The sequence below is a fragment of the Homo sapiens genome, chromosome 11 (assembly GCF_000001405.40).
Source record: "Homo sapiens chromosome 11, GRCh38.p14 Primary Assembly".
NCBI classification, from domain to species: domain Eukaryota; kingdom Metazoa; phylum Chordata; class Mammalia; order Primates; family Hominidae; genus Homo; species Homo sapiens.
This window is the reverse complement of record NC_000011.10, coordinates 17,889,170-17,910,603: the sequence shown is the minus strand read 5'-3', so window position 1 is coordinate 17,910,603 and position 21,434 is coordinate 17,889,170. Positions and strand designations below refer to the sequence as shown.

The window sequence follows — 21,434 nt, the reverse complement described above, 5'->3', positions numbered from 1 at the left end:
TTCAGACGACAAATTCCCATGATTTAGCTTATTAAAACAAACCCACAACAGGCCAGACATGATGGCTCATGGCTATAATCCCAGCTCTTTAGGAGACTAAAGCGGGAGAGAATTGCTTGAAGCCAGGAATTTAAGACCAGCCTCGACAACATAACAAGACTCCATCTCTATAAAAAAATTTTTTTTAATTAGCTGGGCGTGGTGGCACATGCCTGTAGTCCTAACTACTCGGGAGGTTGAGGCAGGAGGATTGCTTGAGCCCAAGAGTTTGAGGTTACAGTGAGCTATGAGTTCACCACTGCATTCTAACCTGGGTAGCACAGTGAGACCCTGTCTCTAAGCAAACCAACTAACCAACCCTGAACTTACAAGATTTAGCCTTGGAGGGAAAGAGAGAGAGAGAGAGAGAGTGTGTGTGTGTGTGTGTGTGTGTAGGTGGCAAATGGTTCCAAGTCTGTTCCTCTGAATTCACCTCTTTTGGATCTTAGGGGAACTGTAGGCCTCCTTTAACCCCTTGATCCAAGTTTGGACCCTGACCTTACTGTGAGTCCCCTGAGTGCAGCTGAGGCAGGCTGGCAGTGTTCTGACTTGTCTGAATGATAGTGCATGAGAGATAGGGAACTAGACAAAGAGAGAAGAAATGTGAAGCATCTGGCTCACTTAGTCTAGGACACTCAGTCTCTGGCCCTAAGGGGTGGATGCAACTCCCCTAACTCTAGCCTGGTCCTCTGCTTTCCAGCTGCAGCCCCTTGCCTCTGTGGGAGGTCTAATCAGAAACTTTCCCCCCAGGAGCTCCTTCTTGGATATATGACATTTTAATGTCTAAGATTGGAGGACCTGGTTTCTACTTCTCTGAATACACACTTCCTTTATTCAGTTTGAGAGATATATCCAGGATGATCACTATTCAGGTGACACTTCTGCCACTCCACTCTGCACAAATGTAGTTCTGGTTTGTCCTTTATTTGACTCTAATAGCATGATGATACCTTAGCCATATCATCAAGAAGACATCTATATTCTGATAGTTACACAAAATAACACATTATTCTGTGCCATCCCAGCTGGGCCCTGATCCTGCTTACAAGTTCATCATTATTAATACCATTCCTTTGGATTAAGCATTGACCTTTCCAGCAGAATCTCCCACTGGGAATGGTAACATATCAGGTTCCTCATACCTTGGAGTACATTCCTTTATCAACATGTGTTCTTTCTCGTCACAAGGAATCTGGAACAATTTATAAGCTCTGGATTCCTTCAAACAGAAGAGACAGCTTCTGGCCAAATAATAATTGTCAATTACATTGCTCCTTTCATTTACGAAGTGTTGTATGTCTCATATGTTTCTTTAAATAGTTCTGTGAAATAGGTATCATATGCCCATTTTGCCAATGAAGAATCTAAGATTCCTAGGAAAACAATGGCTTGACTTGCCCAAGGTCACAGAGGTAGTAAGTGGTGGAGCTACCTAACTCCAAAACCGGTCCTCTTTCCATTGTAACTCCTGGCTCCTTCTACCAGCATCTTCCCTTTGATCTGCCTAGGCTTATTCTGGCTTTAGCCCCAGGTTTTTTCTGTGATTCCAGGCTAAACTATTTATTAATTTCTCTGCTGCTTCTATACCTTTTTATTCTTGGGAGAGTTCCATGGATTCCAGCAAGAAGAAGTTTTACCTCTCAGGCCCTGAGATTCTTCTGTGGCTTCTCATGCTGATGACGGAACCCTATCCATTTCCCTTTGCTAGAGCTCTTACTAGTTTCTGCTTTTATTTTTTCTACTGTCAGATTTGTTGTTGGTTCTGCTTTCTCCCTAATCTGTCCCATATTTCTCACCATTTGTCCTGTCAGTATTGCTTTGATTCATTAAGGCTCCCCCATCTATCAGGTAGGCTTGGTTTCCCACGTGCATTTATTTATTTACTCACTCACTCATTCATCAACTGTTTTCTGAATACTGATGTCAAGCACTGTATTTAGAGTTCCAAGATGTTAAAATATGGTTGAGGAGATCAAGGAATCAGGAGCCCTTTACAATTCAATATGGAAATGGTTGTGATGGCATAAACATAAGATGTTTGTGGAGCATAAGAGGAGGGATATGTCATCCAGATTTGAGGGAGCTGGTCAGAACAGTCTTCTCGGAGGGGATCATGTCTGAACTGACTCCTAAGGGATGAGCGGAAATTGCCTTAGAGTGAGTGAGTGATGATGGTGGTGGTTGGGGGAGTTGTGGAGAGGGCAGAGTTTCAGGCAAAAAGAGCTGCTTATATGAAGATCCAAAGCTGCACATTCAGGAAACTGCAAGCACTTCAGCATGACTGGAGCAGAGCCTGTAGGGATGGTGAGGGATGAGACAGGAGAGGTCATCTGGAACCAGATTGTATAGGACTCCTATTTTGTTCTGAAGGTGATGAGGGGCCATTGAAAGATCTGAAGTAGAAGAGTGGCTGTTTAAAATAGTGTTTTAGAAAGATCACTGTGATGGCAGGGTGAAAGATGGATTGGAGAAAGGGAGAGATAAGAGGCAAGTCAGAAAACTGTGACAGTGATTGAGGGCTAAGTTGCGGAGAACTTGAACTAAGGTTATGGCAGCAATAATGGAGAGAAGTAAATAGGTTCAGAATATCAGGGAGGTGGAATTTCTAGGACTAGTAGCTGATTAGCTGCCCATGGAGTTGAGGATGCATGCTATTTTGTCTTACCCTTAGATTTGTCTGCCTTGCTGTCTCCTACAAGCAGTTCCTTTTTGCTGTCTGAAGAGAAACCTGATGTTTGTTTCCTAGTTAACTATCAATTTCCCTTTCCCTACCCCATCTTCCCTCTGAGATCCTTCTCCTTTTGGCTGACTCTACCTTTATCATCTGTCTGACTAATGTCCAGGTTATTTTTTCAATTTGTACTTGGAAACCTGAGTGACAATTTGATATTTCTTTAGGCAACCCTCATTCCCCCTCTGCCTGGATAGTTCTATCCTCCTCCAAGAGTGGTACCTGGGGAGGAGTGAGGAAAAGGGCAACCTTATTTGCGGAGCTATCTCAAAAGAAAGAGGAGGCAAGTATCTGCCTTACATTTTTAGAATAGAAGATCTTTAAACACAGGGAAAGAACATATAACTAATTCTCATTGTGAGAAGAGAAAGCCCATTGTAGGCAGATTGAAATGCAATTGGTGACATTCAGAACTGACCCCTCCATGGTAGTGCTGACCAATTTAATCTTTTATGGAATAGAATAGAGCATTAGCATCAGAAGGCACTGTAGAGTTTATCCAGTTCATCACCCTCATTTTGCAGATGAAGACTCTGAAGTCTCTAGGGATCCTGTGGTTTGCTCAAGGTCTTAATTATTTAGTAGTAGAACTGGGACCAGAATGGGGACCTCTAGTTCAGTTCTTGTTTCACTAGTCTGATGAAAGTACATTTTTTTTTTTTTTTTTTTTGGTCATAAGTTTGACAGTTTGACAGACTAGAGAATAAGAGACTCACAGGATGTTTTAATGATAATCCAGTTTGATATTTTCCTCTTTCCCCAAGACACTGGAAATAGCTTTCCGAGGGTCATGGACTGGGCGAGGAGAAGAAGGGCCTGCAGACTTATAGCCTAGTGCTCTTCCCAGCACAGTCCAAAGTCTCATCTAGGGCCCAAGACTTGGACAACTGTGGCTCCAAGGACACTGAGCAGAATCATTCTTTAAATATATTACAACCACATTCAGTTTCATAAGATCGAAAGACATGATTTCTTTCTTTTTACCCTGAGGTTTTTTTTTTTTTTTTCTTATTTGATAGAAGTGTATGGCTGTGGAAATTACGTCAGTTTAATTAGGCTGCTTGACACAGTACTTTTCCACTGAATTTACTAGGAACTGTGAATTTGTTGTAACAAACTGCACTGCCGGCTGCAGTATCTGATTGGCATGCCAGGAGCATCACTAGCGAACAGCTAAATAGAGATTGGGGAGAAAACTGGGTCAGGAAACAGGCCTCCTGTACCTGCAGAGGCTGCAGAAGGCGGCGCAGAGGCGGCAGGTGGCCACAGCATGGCACTGTCTCCTAGAGCCTGAGCCACCAAGCGCCCCACCCCCACTTAGCTCTGTGCTGCAACCCCCACCCCACCAACCCCCTTTGCAGGTGATTGTTCCTGTGGCCATTTTGCCTTCTGTTTCTCTAAAGACCACAAAGCTTTTATATCTCGCAGCTCAAGAATGGCTTTTTCTCAATAAAAAAGACAGAGACTGGTTTAGACCGAAACTTCGTTAGCCACTGGTATTCTAAACCATGGATCAAGTCTTTTGGCTTTGCAGAGCTGGTTTTGTCAGGAGGCTGAAACTGGGTTTGAGAGTTCTGCACGGTAATGAGGAAAGGGTTGGTAATGTTTCAGTTTGCCTGTCTCCTGTATTCCCTTCCTTATCAGCCCACCCCTCCCCGTGCCCTGCTCCAACTATGTAGCATCCACCTCTGACAGTGTCAGTGCTGAGCACCAACACAAATTAGGAGCTCCTAGAGAAGGAATGAGTGGTTATGCCAGAAGGGTCAGGGGAAGCTTCTTGAAGGCAGTGGCATTCAAACTAGGTTTTGAGTGATGAATTGGGTCAAGACAGGAAGAAATGAAGGGAAGATGCTAGTGGCCTCCCATGCTGGTCTCAGGACTGCCTTGTTAAGGCTGGAGACCTCCTCAGCAATCTGGGGTTGGAATCTATTTCAGAATTTCGAGGCTGACTGAGACCCTAAGGATCTGCTCATCCAAGCTCCTTATTTTATTTATTTATTTATTTATTTTTCAAGCTCCTTATTTTAGAGATGGGCAGACTAAGGGACAGAGAGGAAAGGACCAGAGCATAGGCCAGTCTAGTGCTGTTACAACCACACAGTTCCCATTTGTGCACTTGTCCTCATTTCTAATGGGTCTCTGAAAACATTCACTTCTTCTTTCTGGGTTTCACTCCTGTCACCTCTGACTCCTGTCATGTGAGCTCTGAGAGACCCAATGGTCTCCACTTATAAATTACCCATTAGAGAAGGAGCCCTGGGTCCTGCTGACTTTGGATTCCAAGGTCACTCCAATCTCTGCCAGATAACTGCATCCTTCCTCCTCAGACTAAGCCTGGTTCAGCCAGTGCTGGTTGTTCAGCAAGGCTGGTGCCTCCCCAAGAATGCTTGGTAGGAATGGGTCTTGCCTCAGAGCAAGGGCTCAGATTCTCACAGTCAGAAAAGCTGAGTGTGTCAAGAACCCAGGCCATTGCACTTTTATGCTATTCTGTGAGAAAACTGGGCTCATTGTGACTAAAAATTGTTTCAATAAATTACACTTCAATTTATTGAAATTTGCTTTAAAGACAATGTTTGTTAGAACATTTAAATTCTGTACAGCATCTCTTTCGCTTTTGAAGAGAAACAGAGGGTGGAATAAAAGCAATCTCCCTAATAAATTTTCCTGGATATTTTGGATAGTCTCCAGTATGAGGAATGTTGTCTTTGGACCAAGTATTGATGTTACAACTGAAATGCAGAAATGTGTACCCATATTCTTATAGATGTACTAAAGTTTGCTAATCAAATGAAGTATTTGTGTAGGATCTTTCAGGGCCAATTTCAAGACCAACATGTTTTGGAAGACAGTTGATATTTCAGATGTCAAGTAGTCTCTGGGTTGAGCAAAGTTGGAAAAACAGATGAACCCATTAGGATAGGTGAAACTTCTGCCTGTGAGAATTAGGCTTTGATGACCCAGGGAATCAGGCATCCAGGACTGATCCAGTTCTCAAGCAGAAGTTTCTGTCTTGCACTGCATTGCATTGTGTTTTGGGTCAGAGAAGGTGGTTTTAAATGCCTCTAAATAATTTCCTTGGTCTTGGAAGGTTATATCTGTTTGCAGACTGGTAGGCCTTGCATCTAGTTGGTATTTACTAAAATAAAGAAAGAGGGAGAAGGAAAGAAGAAATGCTTCTTGATACCTAGGGAGGTTTCTACTCAGAGGCTGACATAGTCATATAAATTTCCATTTATTCTTAAACTAGGACTTGTCACTAGAGTCACCTAACAGTTCATAGAAATGGTTTGAATAGACAGAGTAAAGCTGGAGAGAGATTATAATTTGAAGTTTATCAAGAGTCACCTCTCTTCCTAGAACAGTTACATTAAAGGAATTGAAAGGCAGGGCCTGTGGCTATAGTCGAATGCCCCAGCGGGGCTCAGTCTGGCATGGTGGAGGCTGGCTGGGTAGTCTTTCCAGGATCCCAGCCTCTTTGGTCATGGACATTTATCTTAAGAGTAGACTTTAGTCCTCAACCATTCACTTTTAGCTGCTGCAAAGGGTACCTTGGAGAACCCCCACTCTTTTCCTTGAGGACTTCACTTCTGCTTCACTGGTTCAGGCTGTGGCCAATGTTCCTACTTCCAGCCTTGGAAATGCTTTTCTGTTTCTTGGAGCCCTCATTAGCCCTCTGATACAAAATCAACACAGGGTCTAAAGCAGTGGGCTGCATTTTCTCCTCTTCCCTCGGCTTTGCTACTATCCCAATCCCTGAACACTTCCCTGCATATACTCCCCTGGCCCTAGATACCTACTCCTCTGTTCTAGGCACACAGAGCAGTTGTGGGCTAACTGATCTGGCACTTGTGGTGATGCCTGCAAGGCCTACACGGCCAAGGTGAAGGAGGGATTATAGTGTTCATAGTTGATGGCTGTTACCTTGTCACTTAAGATGACCTACGGAAGTGGAGACTCCCCTTTCCCTTTTTCTCCACGGCTGTCCTCTTCCCTACATTAATGACTCCTCAGTTCTGATCATGGTTAGAAAGCTCAGGCAGCTTCAGTGTGCCTCTTCCTTCCTTCCATATTTATCTGTTCAATGATCAAATCCTGTGATTTTTACCTTTGGAATTTCTTTTATATCTCTCCCCGTGTTTTAACTTTTGCTGCCACCTGAACAATTGCAAATAAGCTTCTCTTCCCAAAGCTCTGCTCTGGAAATGTCTGTCCTGGTTGCAGCCTCTACAATGTCAGCTTCCATTGCTTGCTGCCCAGGCCTCTCCTCATTTACTTGTTTGCATCTCAGGCTTTTATACTAAATGTTCATTAAACATTCTACAATCTATCTAGGGTAACCTTGTCAGAACAGGGAGGGAAAAAGGAAATATCTATCTTCTTTCTTGTCATTTCTCTCAGATGAATGAATTAAATATTTTTATTGCCTTGAAGATTAATTATCTTCTGTCCCCAGGCCAGCTTTAGTATTCTAGCTGTATCTTCTTGTGACTGGACCTGCCAGTTGGAGTTTCTGCCCCCACTCTCAACTCTGTGTTTTTGCCAGGTTTTTCTTCATCATCATATCATGTAGGCTTCCGCAGTGAGTCACAGTCCAGGGGTTCAGAGAGACTAGAGTGTGACCTGCAGGGTTTAGAATAAATTTTGAATTATCTATCTTAGAGCTGAGAGACCTCCTGAAATCTTCTGGTCCTTTCTGGCACATGAGATACTGTTATTGTACTTAACAAGTGAAATACCTGAGACCTAGAGAGTTTAAATGACCAAGCTAAAGCTGCCCAGCTAATAAATTATGAGTCCTAATGGCAGATTTTATCCTTCCGAGGAAAGCCAACTCTTAATTTGGAAAAGGCATCAACTCTCTGGATTCTCTTTGCAGATAAAACAGTTTAGGACCTCCTTTTGTAATAACATGCCTTGTTAGTGTAAGGAAGGAAAGACAGCTTAGAAGTCATTTCCTTGGGGCAGGTGATGTCTGGTAGATAGGCAGATATCCCTTGTCCCTTGTCTTCTAGAAAGCTCATGAGCTCAGCATGTTGGCAACTCTAGTCCTGCATGCTTCTTGTTCAGCTAATCCTTGCAGGCGCTCATGTACAAAATGATTTTTTGTTTGTTTGTCTCTGAAGTGGCTTCTCAGTCCTTGAGGGCCACCAGGCACTAATTCCTCGTTTCTGCCCATGTTCCACCTAACTAAAAAAGTAAACTTATGTTCTTTGTACATGTGCTGCTCCCCTGACACCTCCTACCTTCCCCAAATCCCTCCATTCTTCTGGGTGTTCTTCTGTTCTTCTAGTTACCGAGGCTTGGGGTTCTCTGTGATTCAGCTTGATGAGAGTGCTCCAGTCAGTTAGTTCATCTGCACTCACCAACTCTGCCATTTTTTCTCTTGAACATGCTTTGCAAATTCATCCATTCCTGTTTGCTCCCTTGTGGCTTCCACCAGCCATAGCCGGGTGTCTGCGCCCTCTTTCCTGGACCACTGTAGCAGCCTCTTAGTGATCTTCTGGTCCTCTGTCCTTTCATACATCATGCAGAGTGATAGACTCCCAACTTTTGAACTTAAAACTTGGTAAAGCAATCAGGCCAAACGTTATAGCTCTTTCATCAATCAAACCTTCAATTCCCATATAGGTTTGTCAAAGTGGACTACTCCTGTCTGCTGCATGTTTACTCATTTGTTCCCTCCATCCCTCTCTCCCTTCTTCAGTGAAAAAATACAGTAATGTTTCTTTGCAAACTATAAAGCATGCAACCTTTTATCTGTCCAACAAAGTACCCTGCTATGTGAAAGGGAAGAATGGAGTTTTGGATTTGGTAACTACCTACTGTGTGCTGATAATTTGTATTTAGTATCTTATTTAATTCTCTTGTTATTCCTGTGAGTTAGATTGAGTTATGTTCACGTTACAGATATGGAAACTGAAGCTCTAAGAAAAAAGTAACATGTTCTCCTGCTCTGCTGCCATCCTGGTGCTAGACGCAGAGTGGTGGGTGGGAACTAAAGTCTTTAAGAGGGCAGGAGGGATAAAGCACACACATAAAACAGCTGTCATGGAAGAAAATGCTCATTGTCATGAGAACTGTAGTTATGGTGCTGTCAAAATTCTGAGCATGATGAAATTTCTTCTAGCTGGAAGATTAGGAAAGACTTCATGGAGAAGTTGGATTCCGCTGAGTGTGAAGGATGGGCAGTGTTTTGACAGAAGGAGCTGACAGGCAGAGATCAGGAAGGGAGGGACTAGCATAGGCAGAGGTACAGAGAGGAAATGCTGGTAGTGCCATTAGAAATCATTAGTTTACAGTCCACTTTGGTTGGAGCATGGACTTCTTGTGGTGGAAGATGTGGTGGGATGTAGGCTGTAAAAGTGAGCTGTAACCTGTTCATTGATGAACACTTAAACGTCTAGCTAAAGGATTCGTGGTTTGTTCTATAGGCTCAGGGGAGCCATTAGCAGGTTTTGAGCAGAGGAGTTGCTAGTCTGAGCTGAAGTCTAGAAAGGTTACTTTGGGCATCCAATGAATTGGAGAGAAGAAGAAACAGCAGAGAGAGGAAACACTTAAGAAACTATTGCCATTGTCCAGTACAGGTGTTTTGAGGGCCTGAACTAGTAGAGTGGCAGTAGAGATGGAAAAGAGGGGCAACATGAGAGCAGAACCAGGAAGGCAGAATTACAGGATTTGGTGGTTGGCCACACTTGGGGAGTGGGAGGAGGAGGTGATTCTGAGGTAACTACAATGATGGTGATGGCAGCACCTAACAGAAATAGGAGGATCAGTAAGGGAAACAGATTTGGGGGTGGGAAGGGATGAGGTGGGGGTAGACGGTGTGTTCTGTTTTGTGCAGCTTGAATTTTAGGTGCAGGTGAATTGCCTATTTCACATCTATGTTCAGTGTTCTTCACCACGACTGCCACCATTCCTGGTCCCCTTCTCTCCTCCCTCTTTATTAAGCAAACTTTTGGCTCCTTTTACAATGTGGCTGAGTGAAACTCTCAAGTAGTCTTTGTTTATCTTTGAATTTCTGATGTACCATCCATGTCACTTGGTATTTCCTAAGGCCAGTCTCCCCATTGTATGCTTCCACACACATAAATATACTTACAGGTATGAGCACCTGGTGGTTATAACTGGCATAGTAACACCAGTGGTTCATGTTTGTATGAACGTTTATGGTTGGCAAAGCAGTTAGAATTGTCAGAAGTATGTTGTACTTCTCCGCTAATCCCCTAGGTAGGGTCACTGAACCATTGACTCAATAAGCTAAAAAGGTTATTAGAGAATAAACAGTAGATTTTAGTTTAATAATAAATGCAATTGGAGCCATTAGCATATATCAAATAGGAAAGTTAGATGACTTTTAGCTGCTATAAGTACATAGATTTTGTTGGAAGAGATGATCAAATTTTAAAATATATTCAGGATGATAGCAATGCCGAGATTGATGTTTTGTGGGTATTAAGAATAGCTGTCATGTATAGGGTACTTTGTACAATACTGCTCTAAGCATTTTGCATATCATAATTCAAATCTCATGGTAACCTAGCGAAATGGCAACTATGTTATTCTTGTTTTTTAGGTGGGGAAACTGAGACGCTTAGAGTTAAGCAGCTTGCCCAAGGTCACATAGCTCAAATAAGGCAGAGCCAGGATTCAAACTCAGGCCGTCTGTTTCTAGACCCTGCACTATTAGCCACTATGTGTACTGCCCCTTGGTGATATTTCAGTCAGCTTTGAAATATTGTTTAAAGCAAACTCTAGCCCACTACTCTTAACTCCTAGAAGGTAGGGATATTGTCTTCATTCTGTCTGTATCCCTAGTGCCAGCACATTGCCTGACATATAGTACATGTTCATTAATTTTTTATTTAGTTTTTTTTTTTTTTTGGAGGCAAGAGTCTCAAAATTCAGGCTGGAGTGTAGTCATGCCATCATAGCTCTCTGCAGCCTTGAACTCCTGGGCTCAAGCCATCCTCCCACCTCAGCCTCCTGAGTAGCTAGGACTACAGGTGTGTGCTACCATGCCTGGCTAATTTTTTAATTTTTTTTTAGAGATGGGGGGTCTCAGTATGTTGTCCTGGCTGGTCTTGAACCGCTGGCCTCAAGTGATCCTCCTGCCTCAGCCTCCCAAAGTGCTGGGATTACAGGTGTGAGCCACCATACCTGGCCTCATTAAATGTTTGATGAATGAATATCTTTCTAAGTTACTTTCCTAATCTGATATGAAGTGAAGGTGGTCAAGGAAGTTTCTTACATATTCCTGTTGTTGCTGCTAGAGATGCTGTATTTCACAGAAGAGGTATGGTATGGTGATATATTAATAGGTACACCTTTGGTGTAGATTTGGACAAATCACTGAGACTCTCTAAGCCTTAGTTTTATTATCTGTAAAATAGAAACAATGATGGAACCTGCAATGTAGGGCTTTAGTAAGGATTAAATGAAATAATTCTTGTAAAACTCTTAGCATTGTACTTGGCACATAGAACTCAGTAAATTTTGGATTATATTATTACTGATGGAAATTTTGAAACCGTAGAAGGGAAAAAAGTCATTTTTTAGAGTAGGACCAAATTATTAATTAAAATGGAAATATACAGTGATTTTAAAGTGCCCTGGTATTTATCTGTTCTCACACTGCTATAAAGAAATATCTGAGACTTGGTAAATTATAAAGAAAAGAGGTTTCATTGGCTTATGGTTCTGCAGGCTGTACAGGGAGCATAGTGGTTTCTGCTTCTGGGAAGGCCTGAGGAAACTTACAATCATAGTGGAAGGGAAAGAAGAAGCAGGCATGTCTTAGATAGCTGGAGCAGGAGCAGGAGAGAGAAGGAGGAGGTGCTACATACTTTTAAACAACCAGCTCTCACGATCACTCACTCACTATCATGAGAATAGCACCGAGAGGGTGGTGCTAAATCATTCATGAAGGGCCACGCCTATGATCCAGTCACCTCCTACCAGGCCCCACCTCCAACACTGGGGATTACAATTTGACATGAGATTTGGTGGGGACACAGAACCAAACCATATCAGGCCTTTAGAGATCTAAAATAATTGTTGATGGGTGCAAAAATGTTTTGTTTGCTCATAAAATTATAGCTAACACATTTAGAGAGAATTAAACTCAAAGTTTTGGAAGAGTTGTTTTTCTTTTCCATCTAATGTTTCTTAATGAAATATAAAGGAGGTCTGGGGGAAAAACGTTTTCCTACCCCTCAAACAATTTCACACTTCCCCTTTTGTTTCTCTGGGCCATTAGATATTCAGTGGACAAGGGGGCAAGTGAACCATCATGTAAGCATCTACTTTGTCCAAGATGCTAAATAATAGCTAACTGAATTCAACTCTTAGGATAGTCCTGTGAGGTTAGTACTATAATTCCTATTGTGCAGGTGAGAAAACTGAGGCCCAGAAAGTCTTAGTAACTTGGCCAAGTTCACAGAAGATTGTGATAGAACCTGAAGTTCAACCTACTCTTACCTGGACTACTGCAGTAGCTTCCTGACAGTCTGTGATTGCAGAGCTCATGTTCCTTTCTCCCTGCCGTGCACCCTTCCTGCTGTGTGTGGCAGAGGGTGACAGCTTATGTTCACAGCTTCACTTTAGAGCTGCTAGAACAGGAATTCATTCAAAAATATTTGACCTGTATATTGCTTGAAGGCAAGACAGGGCCAGATTCCTGAGTTTCTCAGTCACCATTGCTGCCTACTTATTTAAAATATATTTTTTAATAGTGTTAAATTATCATGAATGCTCAGCCCTGCCAGTGTGGCCCCTCTATAAATGGGACATATTATTAAATGGAACTTGACAAGAGAAATCTATGTAGCATAGCTTTTTGAAAACTTGGTTATTCCCTTCTGGAATGTATTTTAAGGTTTCAAATTGTGCTTTTGATAGACCGTTTACCAACATTAGGGGTTAATGGGGTCCTTAGTCTTCTTAGAGTGGCAGAGAAAGAAATGAATATATAGTGGTGTGTTTTGTGAGTGGACCTCCCCATTCTCCATGCTAGGCTGAAGGTACAAGTGGAGGCAGAAAAGTCAGACAGGAAGGGGATAGGATCAGTCAACCAATCCACCCCAACCACAGCCTTTCTATTGCTATACATTAGATTTGTTTTTCTGCCTGCTTTCTATCACTATAAATTAGATTTGACTTTCCTAGAGTTTCATATTAATGAAATCATGCACTATTTACTTTTTTGTGCCTGGCTTCTTTCACTCGGCACAGTGGTTTTTGAGATTCATCCATGTTGTTATGTGTTTCAGTAGACTGTTGCTTTTGTATTGATTAGTGGTATTCCATTATATGGTTGTACTATGCTTTGTTTATTCACTTATCCATTGTATTAGTTCTCTCTTGCTGCATAACAAATTACCACAAACTTAGTGGCTTAAAACAGCACATAATTAATAGTTCATAGTACTGTAAGCCAGAAGTCTGGGTGGGATTGGCTGGGCTTTCTGTTTAAGATTTCACAGAGCCTAAATCAAGGTGTCAGCTGGACTGGATTCTTACCTGGAGACTCTAGGGAAGAATCAGCTTCTAAGCTTGTTCAGATTGTTGGGAGATGTCAGTTCTTTGAGATTATAGGACTGAGGTCCCTGTATCTTTGCTGGTTGTCAGCCTTGAGTTGTCGTCAGCAATAGATGCTGCTCTCCAGTTCTTTTATGTAGCACCACATCTTCAAACCCAGCAATGGTCCCTTACATCCTTCTTGTGCTCCTAGTCTTTCTGATTTCTCCTTCTGCCATCAGCCAGAGAAAACTCTCAGCTTTTAAAGGGCACGTGTGATTGATTAGGCCCACCTGGAGACAGTCCTTTGATTTTTGGTAGAGCTTTATTTTTAGAATGGCCTTTCTAATATTAAGGTGTACTTTGACTTTTTAAGACTTCCCTTCCCTTCCCTTCCCTTCCCTTCCCTTCCCTTCCCTTCCCTTCCCTTCCCTTCCCTTCCCTTCCCTTCCCTTCCCTTCCCTTACCCTTCCCTTCCCTTACCCTTCCGTTACCCTTCCCTTACCCTTCCCTTACCCTTCCCTTACCCTTCCCTTACCCTTCCCTTACCCTTCCCTTCCCTTACCCTTCCGTTACCCTTCCGTTACCCTTCCGTTACCCTTCCCTTACCCTTCCCTTACCCTTCCCCTTTCCCTTCCCCTTCCCTTCCCGTTACCCTTCCCTTCCCCTTCCCTTCCCCTTCCCTTCCCCTTCCCCTTCCCTTCCCCTTCCCTTCCCCTTCCCTTCCCTTCCCCTTCCCTTCCCTTCCCCTTCCCTTCCCTTCCCCTTCCCTTCCCCTTCCAAGTCTTCTGTTCTCCAGACTGAAAACACTCATTTTTTTCCCTTTATTTTTTATGTGATACGTTGTAGCATAGCATTAAGTGTACTCTCTGGAATTATACCATAATTTGATTTAAATTGCAGCTATGCCACCTATGAACTGTAATATTGAAAAAGTTAACTTCTCTGACCTATGGTTTCCTTATGTACGTATACTTTATAGAATTAAATCACAGATTAAATGAGCTAATGCATGCAAACAAAATTCCTAAGCCCTTTTCCTGTGACATTATATACACCCCATATATGTTAGCCAATATTATCATTTCAATATTGCTACCTTTTCCCCATTTTGTTCTTTTTCTTCTGAATGTGGTTCATTTTGTCAATGATCTTAATAAAATGTACTCCCCAAATTGTATAGTTGTCTTAAAGAGATTCATAGCCCCTTTTTCAATAATTCTATTTTAGAAAACTTATCCCAAGGAAATAATTAGAGATGTTAAGATTTTTTGTTCACCACACACTTTATAATGACAAGTTATTGAAAGTAATGTAGGTACCCCATAGAAGAGAAATAGTGAAATAAGGTATATTCCTATGATGCTATAAAGTCTGGAAAATCACATTTTCAATGAAACAATGATATGGGAAACATAAAATGTTAAAGGCAAAGGTCATGATATAAAACTGAATATATAGTATGACTATAAGCTGTGTTTCTGAAATTATATATATTTTATTCACATGCAGACAAATATCGATAGGAAAGGACTAAAGGGAATATACCACGTGTTAAGTGGACAGTGGGATTATGGGTGTTTTTGTTTTCCTTATTATATTCTTTGCAATAAGTGTATATTACTTTTATAACCTAAAAAAATAAATAAACTTTATTTAAAAATTATTATGTATATGTATATGTATGTCACCCAGAACAGAACCTGAAAATCTACAACTTTATTTTGTACCAGAAAAGTTGCAGTCATGTCAGTAGATCAAGAAGGTCACTGTGATGATCACTCAGCTAGGAACTGGACTTCTGGCAGTGGGATTCTAGCAAGCTGCCCCTGGGGACAGGACAGCAGCACTCCTAAGTCTGCTGACTTGTCGGGCTGTGCCTAGGAAGAGAGTCTGTCAGGCTGGGTTACGTGGCACCAGTCAGCTGCAAAAGATATATTCATCATTCTTGCTGCTGTGTTCAATGTTATATTGTATACACTTGCTATGATAAGCTTTGATCTCTCTGTCACATCTTATCTTCATTATTGACTTTTTAATCCCAGAAAGAGTAAAGCTTTAGGACCTGGCCTCAATACGTTTTGTTTTGTTTTAATCACAAAATCAAAAGTGATCCTTACGGTGAGGGGCTCTGGGGTACCAGAGGGCCTCTTGATTAGGGGCCATGTTCACGTGTTTGTGCCTCATGCCTGGCAGTGGCCCAGCCAAGCTCTGCTGTGCAGCTGCAGCAAAGGCAAAGATTCTTGGGCTCTGTGCACAAATGGCTCAGAGTCAGCCTGTCATCTGGTTGTTGTTGTTGGGGATAGAATGGAGACAGGAAGGGGCTGTGCTGCCTTTCCCCATACACTACAGGCCCACTTTTTAACTGTCTCTGCCCTGTGGCATCACCCAGGGAACTTTTCCCTAGGCCTTGTGGGATCTGCCTGTGATGTTTTGGGAGGCCATTCTGTTTAGCCACTGACTCAAATTCTTAACGTCTGAAGGATCATCAGTCTCTGAATTCAGCCATTACTTACAGAGTTCAATGCATTTACAAGACCCTGGTGAGGAGCTGAGGAAGTTCAGAGATAAATTCAGTGTCATTCATTTAGCATTTCCTGAGTACTAATGTGTCAGCCTCTGAGCCAGGAGCAGTAAGGGGTACCCAGATAAGTGGCTTCAATTCAACAAACATCTCATTAAGACCTACTATGTACACAGCACTGTGCAAGCCACTGGGGATAGAAATGAATGAAATATATCCCGCGTGATTAAGAAAGTTATAATCAATATAATTTGGGAAGAGACAGATTTGAAAACCACTTAATAATAAGTAGAGAAAGTACTATTTCTATAGCAGGACCCAGAGGAGGAAGCAATTACTTATGAAGTGGCCCATCCACTTACTAGCTATGTGCTTTTAGTCAAGGTATTTAACCATCCTATTTCTCAGTTAATCTATAAAATGTGGATATAATGTGTTAATCCACCAAAAGTACCTAGAATAGGTTTAGTAATCACTAAATGTAATTCTTTTCCTTTTCTTCTTCTCCTCTCTCCTTCCTTCTCAAGGATGAGTGGTGAAGGTACACTGAAGTGAGAGCACAGTGTAAGTTGGGCATGATGAGGAGTGGGGTGGTGGGATGCTGTGTGGAGGGGTTTGATGAGGTAGGAGTGCAAGTACTTGTGGGTAATTTTACTGGGGAAAGAGGCTAGAGAACTGCATTGGGTCTAGACCATGGAAGATCTTAAATACCAGACAAAGGAATTTGGACTTCGGCAATGTGGAGCAAAATAATTCACTTGTACTTTAGGAAGACCATTTTGACAGAGTGGGGGAGAGGTCAGAGGGGAGAGGAGCACAAGGAAGCTGCTGCACAATCCCAGGCAAGAGCTAAGGCCAGAATTAAGACTCAGACCATTTCTCTGACACCCTCAGTGTCATGGAGGCTGAGCAAGATATTTAGTTCCACCCTTTCTATGTGCCTGTGGTTTTCTTGCTGGAGGAACACTGGTTTGAGTGATAGTTTATTCCATGTAGCCCATAACTTTTAATATTGTGAAGTTATGTTCAGCCTTCTGATCTCAAGGCTGATCTACCCATGCATCCCTGCCCATTTGGCTGTACTCATCACATCATATGAGAGTTGAGCATATACACAAGATCTTTCTGCACGTGGATACTAGTGGCTTGTATAGAGCTGAGCCACTGTGGAACCAGCTGAACTATGAAATAGCCTCATGTAGGGGAGCCTCTCTGAAAAGAGGCCCAGTATTTATTTACAACAATGAAAATTACCTTGATATAGATTCCATATAAAGATGTTTTCCAGAGGCCCCATGATATGAAAAGAGTGGGGATATCAAGGGAGATGGAAGTAGTAATATTGGTTGAACCACTTCTAGATACTAGGAGATGGGTTGGGTTCTTTAGCATATTTGATCTCATTTAATCTTCACTATCTGGTGGGGCAAATATTACTACACCCATTTTACAATGAAGAAGCAAAGGTTCAAAAAGTACAGGCTTCATGCCCAAGGTCAGACAGCTTACATATGTCAGACCTTGGACCAGGCTTTTAATGTCCATGAGCCTCAATTTTCTCATCTATTTAAAAAAGTCATAATAAAACCTACTTTTAGGGCTATTTTGTGGATCAAATAAGGTTCTGTACAGATAAAGAGAAAATCATTCCCTGGCATCCAGGAACTGGCCTGGTACTATCAGTCACTGGGCCTTGGTGTTGCTGTGAGCTGGCCTGGCACTCAGGTAGGTCTTGATGTTCTCCTGTTGAACATATACTACTTGACAAAACGTCAACATCAGACAAGGCCACTCTGTGACCATGATGGATCAAGACAAAAATAAGACCACTTTGTAATCATGTGTGAACACAGACAAAACATGAACATTGTCCAAGCCATAAATCACCAAACATCCCACTTTTCTGTCTAATAGAGTCCTTTCTAATATGTTCCAGGCTGGAGTGCAGTGGTATGATCTCAACTCACGGCAACCTCCACCTCCCAGAGATGCTCCATGGTTTCCTGTAGTGTGTGTTCTCCTTCACAGCAATAAGTAGTAAACCCGTCTGTTCAACTACACACAAGTTCCTGGTAGTCTTGGGCTGCAGGGCATTAACAGTGAATACACTTGGAAACCGCTCAGTGCTAGACAAATGTTAGTGGATGTTTTAAGTCAGTTATCTATCGCCACAGTAATGTTACGTAATAAATCACTCATAACCTAGTAGTTTAAAAACTTCTAGGTTCTACTACGAGAAACAGTTATTTGTTCATGTGTCTGTGGCTCAGCTAAGTGGTTCTTCTGGTCTTGGCAGGTCTTGCTCCCATGCCTAGGTCTTGGCTGATCTTTGATTAGGACAACTGGGAGTGGCTCAGCACTGTTCCACATATCTCATCATTGAACAGGGTAGCCTGGGTGAGTTCTCATGGCAGTGGCAGAGGGCAGAAGGCAAAAATGAGCATAAATATACAAATGATTTTTCAAATCTCTACTTGTGTCACATTTGCTAACATCTAGTTACCCAAGCAAGTCACATGGCTGAGTCCAAAGCCAAAGGATGACGGGCTGGTAAACTGTCTCTGAATGGGAAGGCAATTCATGGCAAAGGATGTGGATATGAGGAGGAGTAAGAATTGGGGACATTCATCCAATCAGTCTATAATAGTGTTCTTATGTTTTACTATCTTCTAGGCATGCTTCCTTTTTATCCCCAAGTGCTCCTCACATTTTTCCTAACTCTGTAGTGTTTTTCTGGAAAAAGCTGGAAGCTTCCCCTCCCCTTTTTCACCCCCATTTTAGGCATAGTCCTACTCCAGAATTTATCTATATGCAAATACTTATTTTCAGAATTTTTGCCCACTTGGAAAAAAGATCCTAAAAGATAGACAAGGAGACCAAAGAAGGTGGTGGCTTAGGAAAAATGTCTAGCCAATAGTAGGACAGATACAGAAACTCAGAACTCAAAAGGATTTTAATAATTAGCTTTGAGAGGCAGTCTGTACTTAAATGCTTCCCATAGTGGGTAGTAGCTCACCACCTTACAAGATATACCACTCTGTTTTAGAATAGCTCTGTGTTAAAAAGGTTCTTCTGCATATTAGACCACATTCTATGTTAATAACACTGTTTTGCCATCTGGAACCCTGCAGAACAAGTTTTCTATGTGACTGTCTTTCAGTTATTTGAAGAGTCATATGCACCTCCACCTACCACGTCCCTACAAATCTTTTTTTCCAGGCTTAACATGTATTGTTTCTTCAGCAGCTCATTATATGACAATTTCTACATGTTTTAATATTCTGGTTACTTTGATCTTATTATTCCTTAAATTCAGTATCTTAAAATGTGAGAGAGAGTCCCGAACTGACCACAGCTCTCCAAATATGATGTGACCAGCACAGAGGACACTAGGACCAGTTCATTTTTGTGGGCAAAAATGTAATGCAGCCCAGGATCCTATTTTTTGAGAGGCTATGTCACATTGCTGACTCAAATTGCAAGTATGGATCTTTTTTCACAAGAAATGCTTTTTAGTCAGGTCTTGCCAATTCTGCATCTCTACAACTTTTTTTTTGAAACTGAGTTTAGGAATTCACATTTTAAATTATAACCTATGTGTTTCTACTTGTTCATCTCGTTGAGTCCAGAGCATCTCATCCAAGGTACTGGCTGTCTCTCCCAGCATTATAAATTCTGTGTGTTTAGTAAGCAAACCTTCAGTCTTTATCCAATTTGTTGATCAGAAGTTTAGTTAGGCCAAATTGAGGGCCATATTCCTTGGTAAACCACAAGATGCCTCTAGGTAAGAGCTTCACATAGGAAGATTTCTGTTTTAGTCTCTGGCTTATATTCCAATGAGTATCATTATTTATTTTGATGCTCAAATTGTCTTATATTTAGCCAGTGGGAACCCCTTCAAGTTTGCTTCTGTGTCATTTGACATGCCCCCATCATTTTTTGAGCACTTTTTTTTGCTCTCTGACACAAGATGTTACAGGTTCATCTTATACTTTCCCTGCCTCAGTCCTAGAATCAGCCATTTCTCCAAGAATAATTTTTTAGTGGAGAATGATTTTTAGAAATAAAAATCAGCTAGGCGCAGTGGCTCATGCCTGTAATCTCAACACTTTGGGAGCCTGGGAGGTGGGAGTATCGCTTGAGCCCAGGGGTTTGAGACCAGTCTGGGCCACATCATAAGACCCCATCTCTACAAAAAATCAATCAGTCCATCAATCTCAGGTCTGGGTGTGCTTGTATCATTGGAGATTGCTGCTCACAGCCTCCCTCAGTGGACAAAGCTGAGAAAACATGTGAGAGAAAACGTGAGAAAAACATGAGTTTGTGCATATACAGACACACACACACACAGCCCTACTTTTCTATATATATTTCTGTTTCTCTGTCTGCCTTGAAAATAATGAGTTCACGCCAGCGTCTTTAGTTATAATGCAGCACTACAGAGTTCCTTCTATATCTCACTCTTTCAGTTGTAATTCATTTCCCTGACTATGAGAAACCTGGCTCCCATTATCTTCAATACATTTACTTACTTGCTCAGTTCTCCTGTATGAAACCGACCCATTGCATCACAGTCCTGCTGACTACCTTCCTTGCACAGGTTGATTCCCCACCAGGCCACAGCTGTCCAGCCAGGCTCTGAACCTTCACTGGGACCCTGCTGCCCCTTCTTAGCCACTTTTCTCATGTAGGTTCTGATGCTTGGCCACTTTCCTCACTTAGGCTTAAGAAGGAAGCTATCCTGTCTTTTTTTTTTTTTTTTTTTTTTGGTTGAAGTGTAACTTACCTACAGTAAAATGCACAGATCTTAAATATTCAACTCAGTGACCTCTTATATTTGTATGCACCCATGTAATCACCCAAATTAGGCACTTCAGTAAGCTTCCTGGATATACCTATCCCAAAATAACCATTATTCTAAACTTTCACCACAGATTAATTTTGCTTAACTTTTTATTTTGAAATGATTTCAAACTCACGGAAGAGTTGCAAGAATAATATAAAGAATTCCACAAATCCCTTCACCCAGACACAGAATGTATTAACATTTTGCCACATTTGTGTCCTCTCTCTTTTTAAAACAATTTAACGTTGATAGAATACTCTTATCTAATCTACAGAGCTTCTGTATATTTTTCCAGTTGTCTCAATGATGTCTTTTATGACAATTTTTCACTTTGATCTAGCATCCAGTTCAGAATCATATATTGCATTTAGTTGTCATGTCCCCTTGCCTCCTTTATTCTGGAATAGCTTTTCTTTATCTCTTATGACATTGACATTTTTTAAGAGTACAGGACAGTTGTTTTGTATATAATGTCCCTCAATTGGTTTTATCTGATTTTTCCTCATGATTGGATTTCACTTACACACTTTTGGCAGGAATACTAAATAAGTGATGTTGTGTCTGTCTTTAGTGCATCATATGAGGAGGCACCTGATGTCAGTTTGGCACATTATTAGTGATTCTAACCTACATTTCTTGTGTAAGGTGGTGCTTGCCTCCTTTCTCTGCTATAAGGCTACCATTTATCCTTTGTAATTAAGAAGTAATCTGTGAAGAGATACTTTAAGACTATGTGAATACCCTTTTCCTCTTCAGACTTTTGCCCAGTAGTTTTAACA

At 41.6% G+C, this 21,434-nt stretch overlaps 1 protein-coding gene across 3 annotated transcripts in view, besides 1 other annotated feature; it reads left to right on the top strand.

The window, feature by feature from the left end:
* The window catches only part of SERGEF (secretion regulating guanine nucleotide exchange factor), a 225,000-nt gene that overhangs the window by 102,444 nt on the left and 101,122 nt on the right, over window positions 1–21,434 (top strand). The gene's annotated exons all lie outside the window — the stretch shown is intronic.
* Window positions 11,411–11,912: an enhancer, noted in NCBI's record as "NANOG hESC enhancer chr11:17920239-17920740 (GRCh37/hg19 assembly coordinates)". NCBI's record gives its function as "activates a minimal SCP1, AML or CMV promoter by ChIP-STARR-seq in naive H9 embryonic stem cells {active_cell/tissue: H9 hESC(naive)}" and the evidence as "EXISTENCE:reporter gene assay evidence [ECO:0000049][PMID:30033119]".